General features: G+C 46.4%; 2 long non-coding RNA genes across 3 annotated transcripts; both read right to left on the reverse strand.

Moving 5' to 3' along the window:
- Positions 1-383: 383 nt before the first annotated feature.
- Positions 384-3536, reverse strand: LOC124902052 (uncharacterized). The gene is made up of 2 exons (XR_007061162.1): positions 3435-3536; positions 384-2801 (listed from the first exon to the last, which is right to left on the reverse strand). It is a non-coding gene; the product is annotated as an uncharacterized LOC124902052 (long non-coding RNA).
- A 2067-nt stretch (positions 3537-5603) lies between these two features.
- LOC105377773 (uncharacterized) lies at positions 5604-8539 on the reverse strand. 2 transcript variants are annotated; one of them, XR_941344.3, is made up of 3 exons: positions 8403-8539; positions 6605-6723; positions 5604-6028 (listed from the first exon to the last, which is right to left on the reverse strand). It is a non-coding gene; the product is annotated as an uncharacterized LOC105377773 (long non-coding RNA). The 2 variants fall into 2 exon arrangements; XR_941343.3 differs by having other exon boundaries at positions 5604-6031.
- Positions 8540-11061: the final 2522 nt, after the last annotated feature.

Raw genomic sequence — 11061 nt, forward strand, 5'->3', positions numbered from 1 at the left:
TGGTTTAAGGTAATTTCTCAGTAAGATGGCTTGGCTCACATGCCATTTTCAAGAATGCTGAGAAAGGACAGTGTGCCATCAAGCTGTGGAATCGCTTGGTACGCTGTGGAATTCTGTGGTAAGACATTTTTCAAGGACTGAAGTGCATGGAAGAGGAACGGAAACCTTTGTTGCCTATTCATGTGTTATTTCCAGGTCTCGACCCACCAGTCCCCGCTGCCTCCCTTCATAGCTCCTCTGGTTCCCATGTGAGTCCCTCCCTTTGCATCCACACGATGCACTGCATCACTCATCTGCACACATCTTGCTTTCCAGAGCAGACTAAAAGCCCCTCTGGACACAGAAAGTGCCTCTGTCTCTTTTAATAGCTATTGTACCTCACAGAGCATTTAAATTTTTATTGATGGGTTAATAAATAATTGATTGATGGGGACTGAAACTAATCTTTAAAATTGATTGTCAACTGAAAACCTGTACAAGATATCCCACTGTTTAACAATAGAGAGGAGCTATTGCAGCTGCTGTGACGACTGGCAATGTCCTCTTCTTTATCGCACCTCTAAGAAATCTGCTGGCAAATGACTTCTTGGATACTGTTTCATTAAGGAATTTCTCAATGGATAAAGTTTTTACTATTCTAAAAGTATCTTTGTGTCTTCACAGTAGGTGCTGTATTTGGTTTGGAGGAATTTTATTAGTCTAAAGGACATAATTTCTTCCTTCTAGGAGCTTACAGAGGACTAGAGGATGAGTTACCTGCACAACCCATCACTCTATGGAACCTCCCAGCCTGTGTCCTGAACCCTAGGATTACACACATGTAGTAACACAACTTATTTCCACATTCTGTAGCCAAAGCCTAATGGGCCAGGGTTCATCAGTTTACCACACAGCGGCCATCTCATGTTGATCAGTGTCGGGGTTCATCAGTTTACCACACGGCAGTCATCTCATGTTGATCAGGGTCGGGGTTCATCAGTTTACCACACGGCGGCCATCTCACGTTCATCAGGGTCGGGGTTCATCAGTTTACCACACGGCGGCCATCTCATGTTCATCAGGGTCGGGGTTCATCAGTTTACCACACGGCGGTCATCTCATGTTCATCAGGGTCGGGGTTCATCAGTTTACCACACGGCAGCCATCTCATGTTCATCAGGGTCGGGGTTCATCAGTTTACCACACGGCGGTCATCTCATGTTGATCAGGGTCGGGGTTCATCAGTTTACCACACGGCGGCCATCTCACGTTCATCAGGGTCGGGGTTCATCAGTTTACCACACGGCGGCCATCTCACGTTGATCAGGGTCGGGGTTCATCAGTTTACCACACGGCGGTCATCTCACGTTGATCAGGGTCGGGGTTCATCAGTTTACCACACGGCGGTCATCTCACGTTGATCAGGGTCGGGGTTCATCAGTTTACCACACGGCGGCCATCTCACGTTCATCAGGGTCGGGGTTCATCAGTTTACCACACGGCGGCCATCTCACGTTCATCAGGGTCGGGGTTCATCAGTTTACCACACGGCGGCCATCTCACGTTCATCAGGGTCGGGGTTCATCAGTTTACCACACGGCGGCCATCTCACGTTCATCAGGGTCGGGGTTCATCAGTTTACCACACGGCGGCCATCTCACGTTCATCAGGGTCGGGGTTCATCAGTTTACCACACGGCGGCCATCTCACGTTGATCAGGGTCGGGGTTCATCAGTTTACCACACGGCGGCCATCTCACGTTCATCAGGGTCGGGGTTCATCAGTTTACCACACGGCGGCCATCTCACGTTCATCAGGGTCGGGGTTCATCAGTTTACCACACGGCGGCCATCTCACGTTGATCAGGGTCGGGGTTCATCAGTTTACCACACGGCGGCCATCTCACGTTCATCAGGGTCGGGGTTCATCAGTTTACCACACGGCGGCCATCTCACGTTCATCAGGGTCGGGGTTCATCAGTTTACCACACGGCGGCCATCTCACGTTCATCAGGGTCGGGGTTCATCAGTTTACCACACGGCGGCCATCTCACGTTGATCAGGGTCGGGGTTCATCAGTTTACCACACGGCGGTCATCTCACGTTCATCAGGGTCGGGGTTCATCAGTTTACCACACGGCGGTCATCTCACGTTCATCAGGGTCGGGGTTCATCAGTTTACCACACGGCGGCCATCTCATGTTCATCAGGGTCGGGGTTCATCAGTTTACCACACGGCGGCCATCTCACGTTGATCAGGGTCGGGGTTCATCAGTTTACCACACGGCGGCCATCTCACGTTCATCAGGGTCGGGGTTCATCAGTTTACCACACGGCGGTCATCTCACGTTCATCAGGGTCGGGGTTCATCAGTTTACCACACGGCGGCCATCTCACGTTCATCAGGGTCGGGGTTCATCAGTTTACCACACGGCGGCCATCTCACGTTCATCAGGGTCGGGGTTCATCAGTTTACCACACGGCGGCCATCTCACGTTCATCAGGGTCGGGGTTCATCAGTTTACGACACGGCGGTCATCTCACGTTCATCAGGGTCGGGGTTCATCAGTTTACCACACGGCGGTCATCTCATGTTGATCAGGGTCGGGGTTCATCAGTTTACCACACGGCGGTCATCTCATGTTGATCAGGGTCGGGGTTCATCAGTTTACCACACGGCGGTCATCTCATGTTCATCAGGGTCGGGGTTCATCAGTTTACCACACGGCGGTCATCTCACGTTGATCAGGGTCGGGGTTCATCAGTTTACCACACGGCGGTCATCTCATGTTGATCAGAAGCCTTGACAGCAAGCCTAGATGTCTGTTGATTATAAATAAAAATTATTATTTATAAATGCAATTTGTTTGGAAAACAAAAATCAAAGCTTGGGATCCATGGAGTTAAAAAATAACTAAAGAATCTCTACTGATTAAAAGATAGTGAGCTAGGCAGGGCACAGTGGCTCATGCCTGTAATCCCAGCACTTTGGGAGGCCGAGGCGGGCAGATCACTTGAGGTCAGGAGTTCAAGACCAGCCTGGCCAAGATGGCGAAACCGCGTCTCTACTGAAAATACAAAAATTAGGCGGGCATGGTGGCGCACGCCTGTAATCCTACCTACTCAGGAGGCTGAGGCAGAAGAATAGCTAGAACCCGGGAGGTGGAGATTGCAGTGAGCTGAGATCACAGCACTGCACTCCAGCCTGGCGGACAAAGCGAGACTCCATCTCCAAAAAAAAAAAAAAAAAAAGATACCGAGTTGAGTGTGGTGGCTCATGCCTGCAGTTTCAGCTACTTAGGAGGCTGAGGTGGGAGGATCCCTTGAGCCCAGGAGTTCAAGTCTAGCCTGGGCAACATAGTGAGACCCTGTCTCTAAAATAAGCAAATGCATTATTATTTTTTTAAAGACACCAATCCCAGGAGCTGCTTAGATACTCTGCTTTATCACCCATACCTTTGGTCCCAGATCACTCCAGCCTCATCCATACACCCTTGTGACTTTTAACCTCTAAGTAGTTATCCTAAATCCAGTCCTTAAACAGGATCATACTTGGGGAGAAAACATACATCCTTGAGAAAACAGGAGAATGTTGAAAATATTTGCCTAAGAAATTAAAGTGCTATATTGAAAAATGACCAAAGCAAGTAAATTGAGTAAAAAGTAGATTTGGGCAATGAATTGTGGAGGAATGCTAAAAAATGAAATGAAATAAAAATAAAGAAAGAAAAAACTTGAGAACAAGGATTTTTGTGATAAGAAAACACATGGCATTGAAAGCATAATTTAGGGTCAGAATGTCTGTGTTTCTCCAAGGGATTCAACACCAGCCTGTTGGCAGTGGACCTGACCCTGACCAGTCACGGAAGCCAACTGGGAACCAACGAGGGTAACAGTTAGCTGCTCTCAGTGCCACACCGGACGAGGATATGGGGACTAATGCTGAAAAGCCACGGGGCGTTGATAAGGCACTAGCGATAATCACTGACCTGAGCCCGTTCTTATTCAAATTCAGTAAGTGTATTTCAGACTGTCATCCTATGCCCAAAACTGAGACAGATGCTGCATCCTGGACTTGATGATTATTTTTTGAACGATCATGTGATGTTGCCTGGAGGTTGTGTAACTGCACCTGCTCCGGCAACTTTCATGACTCAGCACAGAGGAAGAAGCCGAGCGCGATTCTCCAACACACTGGGGTACGTACTGGCTGGCCTAAGTCCTGGGTCGTCCAAGAGCAATAGTTGTTCACAATGATGGGTCAAGTCACCTCCAGAGTGTATATTATAACTAATGTAACCTATTTGAGAAAGAATGAAGGGTTTATGTTTTTTGAGAATATTTCCATTAGGCGGGCTTAGAAAATGTAGATACTTAAACAGTTTAGCATCTAGAAGACCATAGAACTATTAGAGAATCTGTTACTGAAAATTCGCCTGTCATTTTATGGCAGGATACTGGCAGAGTATTTCATCAGGCTGCAACATGGCTGCATTTTTCTCCTCATTACGCAAGATGTATCCAAGACATTTTCCCTGTTTCAGGTCATTACTCATCTTGCGCAGCCACTGAGCAAAGCGGGTCACGAGGTCCTCAACCGTGAAGTGGCGACGTGAGACACACGACCTCCTGTAACCCTTCAGCCTCCAAGAGTCTGCGATTCAGTAGACACAAACTCGCTGTGAAGGATGGGGCCACTCACACAGAGGCGCGCCACCCGCCTCACCCTCTGAGGGTGACTTTCCACAGCTGGGACTGGAGGACCCTGGGGCAGATTTAAAAACTATGATCCCAGATGCACAGACCCAGAGTAACCGCAGCCTGGCTTGTGTTGCTCGGGGGGTGACAAGGGGCACTGGGCAACCCTGCTGGCTGAGACTCAGCCCCAGCCACCTTCCAAGGTTCTAGAATGTTCCAGAACCAAAAAGAGAAGCAGATGGCTACAAGTGAGGGAAATACTATTTCTCAGTGATCATTTACAACCAGCAGCTCCTAAATGCTTTTTAAAAAGGTTGATGAGGGATCTAGAACTAGAAATACCATTTGACCCAGCCATCCCATTACTGGGTATATACCCAAAGGACTATAAATCATGCTGCTATAAAGACACATGCACACGTATGTTTATTGTGGCATTATTCACAATAGCAAAGACTTGGAACCAACCCAAATGTCCAACAATGATAGACGGGATTAAGAAAATGTGGCACATATACACCATGGAATACTATGCAGCCATAAAAAATGATGAGTTCATATCCTTTGTAGGGACATGGATGAAATTGGAAATCATCATTCTCAGTAAACTATCGCAAGAACAAAAAACCAAACACCACATATTCTCACTCATAGGTGGGAATTGAACAATGAGAACACGTGGACACAGGAAGGGGAACATCACACTCTGGGGACTGTTGTGGGGTGGGCGGAGGGGGGAGGGACAGCACTGGGAGATATACCTAATGCTAGATGATGAGTTAGTGGGTGCAGCGCACCTGCATGGCACATGTATACATATGTAACTAACTTGCACAATGTGCACATGTACCCTAAAACTTAAAGTATAATAATAATAATAATAAAAAGAGATTAAAATAAAAGTTGATGACTTCACTAATTCAAAGAGACACAGTCATTCCTGGAGGCAGGGAGTGCAGGAAGAGCCAGCAGGGTGCAGCAGCAGTCTTTGAAATAGCAGGAAAATCCCACTTGGACACTTTGTCTGTGCAGATCCACATCTCCATGGAGAAGAAGCCTAACTCCTAAGTTTAGATCTACCTCTGTTTAGCATTCCCTGCACAGCATGACGTGAATGCAGAGGGGGATGACATTTGCTGACTGGTACATCTAAAGACCTATCAAGGAAGAATGGGACTTGCCCTTAGGCCGAGAAGGCCTAGATGCGTCCGTCATCCCTGGCCAGCTCTTGTTCTTGGTGTGCCCACTGAGCAGCATGAGGGCAGCCTCAAAGGCTCTCTTGCCGAGCAAACACTGCCAAATGTCACTGCACAAACCACCGAGTCAGGATCCTTCTCTGAAGGCTTCTCTGCCTACTGGGCACATAGAAACGAGTTTAAAAGCTGCAGACAATTGATTTCAAGGGAAGATAGCTGGTGCTGAAGTGATTCCAAAGTGGTGAGTTTGGGCAGCCTGACCAGCTGCTGCCATGGAGGGCTGTGCAGAGCTGCCTGCCCTGAGGGCTATGCCTGGCACAGTGAGGCCTCTCAAAACCATTCTTGTGAATGCCCTGCTGCTCTCTCAGCACTCCATTTTCATGAACTATTTTGAAGTCAGTGGAAATGGGTTTCTCAGGGCCCTGGCTACGGTTTGAACATGTCCCCAAAGTTCAGGTGTTAGAAATTTAACCCCAGTGCAACCATGCTGAGCGGGAGCCTTAAGAAGTGATGGGGTCACAAAGGCTCTGCCCTGCTGAATGGATTAATGCCATTATCATGGGAGTGGGTTTGTTGTGAAAGTGAAATCAGCCCTTCCTCACTGTCTCACCACATGGTGCCTTCTGCCATGTGATAAGGCAGCGAGAAGCCCTTACCGATGCAGCCCTTAATCTGGGACTTCCCAGCCTCCAGAAGCATAAGCCACATGGACTTCTACTGTTTATAAATTACCAAGTCTGTGGTATTCTGTTACAGCAGCAAAAAGCAGACTGAGACAGTTGGTCTTCAGAGAGCAGACCTTTTCATATTTGAGGATATTTCATCCTTCAGGGATACTTCTCTTATTTTCTCTAAAAGTAAGAAAAATAAAAGCCAGAAGGAAGAGCAATGAGTGAACACCACACTTTCTCTCACACCTCAAGTGGAAAATACACCTTTCTTAAATCAGTGAGTGAACAGTCCCGGATGGCTTCACAATAGCATGTTGTAGAATCAATGCATTCTTCTTAAAACTGCCTATAAAAAGAAAAAAACTATATTCAACAGCTGCAATGCTGTGCTCTTTTATTCCACCACAATGCTGGAATTATAAGCACAATTCTCCCTTCGCATCCCTCTTGCATCAACCAAAAGTTGAGTTGCGAAGTGGAGTGAAAACTATTAAATAATCACCATATACATTTGTTTTTGAATATTCACTTTTCTGCAAAAACGTGGTTTTACCACATCTTTAGCTAATATCCTCTAAAGAAAGTGAACAACTTTAGTCCATGGGAAGTACATTATGAGGCCTCAAAGCGAAGATGCTGATAAACCTCAACCCTTTCTGCCTCAGTGTAAGCCTTTCCGTCTTGAACTATATGTGTTAACAAACAAGTGAAGTTTTTTGTTTTTGCTATGAGTTCAGGAGACAGGGAAAGATGGGTAGCCCACAGCCTCGTGTCTGGCAGAGTGAAAGGGTGGGCTGGTTCCTGGTATACTGATGTTCTCAGTGTCTACAGGTCCCTTTGTGCAAAGCAGCCTGCCTGCCCTGCAACGTCCTCTTTCAAGAGCTGTTTGGACCTGAGCTTTCCCAGGATCTGACCTCCCTCATGCTTGAATGGATACTACAGCCAGTTAGATCAGTGTCATCCAATCTGAGAAGTCACACTCCTCAAAGACCCCAAAGACCTGAGACTCAAGAAATCTTTACCTGAGGGACCAACATGTAGTTCAGTAAGAAAACACTTTTAAATTGTGACTTAACAGTAAAAAAGAGAAGTATTTTATTTACAGCATTTAATTTGAAAAGAATTCGTCATAAGTGCTGTGATGGATTTGAGGTGACTGTCAGTTTGGCAGCAGAAATATGTTTCTCAAACACACATAGTTCCCAAGAATATACCAACGAACCTCATAGGTTCTGAAGACTGCAGTTAAAGAAACACATTTTGATATGGTTACTCTTATATCCAGGTTCATTTTCTCCAAATAACTATACCTTCATTCATTAATGTGTCATTTCTTTCAGGAACTATTTTCTGAGTCTCAAACATATTTCATAGCACTCTCAAGCTTGAGGTTCTGCCTGAACATGCTCCTCCTCCTTTTCTTTTGTGACTCTTCATTTCGTATGGAGTTAAACCTGAGCTCCTATATGTGGCTTTCATAATTATCCAAGAGTATTTTCTGGACATTTCCAATTCTGACCCATTTCTGTAGTCCCAAAAGAACTCTTAGCACACAGCTCTGTCCATTTACTTGACTTATTCATTTCTTTTGTAACCACTAGCTACATTCTAATTTCTTCAGAGAACTGTGCCAGGCACTTCCTGGGGTTCAAAGAAAAATTCAGCAGAGTCCTCCTTCATGACAGACCCTGCCATCAGCACTGGAAATCTCCCTGCAGAGGGCTTATGGTCTAATAACACTGTGCTTAGGGCCACAGGGTTTGGAATCAGATCTGTGTGAATTTGAGTCCCGGTTCTGCCGCTTAACAAGGAGTCACACAATCACTTACCCACACCTGAGGCCCAATGTCTCCACCTACCCAAGAGTGGGCGAATCGCATGGCGTTGTTGCAAGCATCGTCTGAGAACCAAGGTAACGAACCGACTGCTGATCCAAGGCAGGCACTCAACCGTAGGATTTTAAGGTCCACAGATGTGGGAATGAAGAACTCCACAGAAGATAACGATGGAAACTGAGAGAAGTGAGTGAGATGTTAGTTCGGAGGGAAAGGAAATCTTCACAACACCCTGTCTTAGCAGGATCACCCTTCCTTCTTTCCATCATTCAGGTTCCATGAGTGACCAGCCCAGGTTGCTCATGTCCTAGGGTCCTTCCTGAGCATTTCAGACCTGGGTGCCTCCCGCACTCACACTCAGTTCCTACCTTGTTCCAGGCCCTGCCATCAGCCCAGAGAGCCATGGTAAGACTCACCATTTCCTTTGGAAGTCTCATGGGCTGTCTTCCTGTCCTCTCACCTCACCTTCTGACCTCCCAGATTCAGCCCGTGTGCCAGGGCTTCTCAGCCCTTTCTGTGGGTGGTGGAGAAACACGTCCCCTTCTCCACCTCACCATCTCAGGAACACAGTCCTTTCCCCCTGGCCTTTTATACTCTGGGGCCAGAATCCAAATAGTCTATGAATCTCTACCACTCAGTTTAGCCTCTCCCTCAGTATGTTTCAAGCAGCACTAATCTTACAAAATGTTCCCAGAAGAAACTGTTTCTGGGGCCAACTAATTATGGGAAACATGGCTCTCTGTATCTTCCTCTTGGAGATTTAAAGTATGTTTTGACTATGAGAAATCTTGCAGTAAGGAAGCCTGTTGATATTTGCCCAACCCAGCATTTCCCAAACTCACTTGTCCATGGAACCCTCCTGCAAGTGACCGCCACACACAATCAACAGGGCCAGGCTCCACCAGGCATGTTCTGGGAAATGTGCCGTATGTAGCTTTGTTCTGTTTCCACTTTTGTCAGATTCGATGGCAACAAGATTGAAGGCGCCCTGAGATAAGTGACTTTGTTTTGAATTGTTTAGTAATAATAATAGCTAATTCGTAATTCTAAGCACCAGATGGGCATAAAGTAAGTTCTCAATAAGTGCCCCTTGACAGCTCAGCCTCCCTGGAGTGATCATTTTTCAGATCTCAAATTTACCTGACTCACACAAATGTCATTTGGCTTTGGCTGTATGCATGCCCGGCCTCACTGCTTTGGTGTATTTTTAAATAAATGATTTTTAGAGCAGTTTTAGATTCAGAGCAAAGCTGAGCAGAAAGTACAGAGATTTCCCACGTACCCACCTCCCCGCATGCATAGCCTCCCCCATTATCAACATCCCCCACCAGAGTGATGCATTTGTTACAGTCCATGAACCTCCATTGACACACTATTGTCACCCAGAGTCCACAGCTCACATCAGGGCTCACCACTGGTGCTGTACATTCTATAGGTTTGGGAAAATATATAGTGGCATGAACTCATCATTGCAGTATCACACAGAGTAGATCGTCTGCCTTAAAGATCCCTGTGCTCCACCTGTTCATCCTTCCCCACACCACCAGGCCTTATCTTTCACTGTGTTGGTAATTCTGCTTTTTCCAGGATGTCCTGTAGTTGGAAGCACACGGGGTGTAGCCTTCTCAGACTGGCTTCTTTCACTCATTTATGCATTTAAATTTCCCCCATATTTTTTCATGCCTTGATAGCTCATTTCTTTTTGCGTTGAATAATATTCCACTGCCTGGACACACCACAGTTTATCCATTCATCTACTGAAGGACATCTTGGTTGATTCTGAGTTTGGGTGATTATGAATAAAAACAAATAAGCTTCCATAAACATCCATGTGCGGGTGTTTGTATGGATGTAAGCTTTGGTGCATTTTTGGTGTGTGCTCTTGAAAACCGGGCTGACAGTTATCTGAACCAAGCCTGGAGAGCAGGACGTGCCCTGGCTGGCCCCTCACCTGGTTCTGAACAGTGAGAGGCATTTTGACCCCCTACACTTCAGGAATGTGACTTCTAGAGTGAGGCTCGGCCTGGCCCGAGGCTGAGCGAATTATCTAGCTCTTAACTTAGGAGTGTCTGAAGGTAAAGAGAGATAGGAATAGGCAAATAGCACTTCGCTTCTTAGCAAGAAATTGCAGCAGGTAAGTTTGGAGTATAGAAAGAGGAAAGATGGTTTTAAGTGTTTCTTTAAGCAGCTCTCCAAAGATTACAAACTTTCATGAGAATAAGTGAATTTTCTGGTTCAGAGATTGCAGTTCAAATCTGTTCTACCTTGTAGACAATTTGATCCATGCCGAACAGAAATGTAATAGAGGAACGGAAGGGCGCTAGCTTAAGTCACGACTTGGATTAAATTGAGAAATTCAGGTCTTGTTGTTAGAAAGTATGGCTCCCATCTCATAAACAATTCTGAATCTGCAGCCTGCAAGCCCCAACCCGGGCCTGTCCTTGACTGAGTTTGTTCCCATCAGATGCTCACTGCAAAGCTTTTGGGGGACATAGCGCTTGCGTTCTAAGCGGGCTCTGAGATAACTTACTGGGGTTCCACTAGTACCTTGTGAGCCATTGCCACTCCCCCTCTATGATGACCTCGCCCAGGGCTAAGGGGAAAAAGCAGCAGGGCCCCCATGGACCTATCCAAAAGGAGATTAATCCAGGGTACTCAGGAAAATCTGTGTTGGAAATCCCTG

This window comes from Homo sapiens, chromosome 8 (genome assembly GCF_000001405.40).
Source record: "Homo sapiens chromosome 8, GRCh38.p14 Primary Assembly".
NCBI lineage: Eukaryota > Metazoa > Chordata > Mammalia > Primates > Hominidae > Homo > Homo sapiens.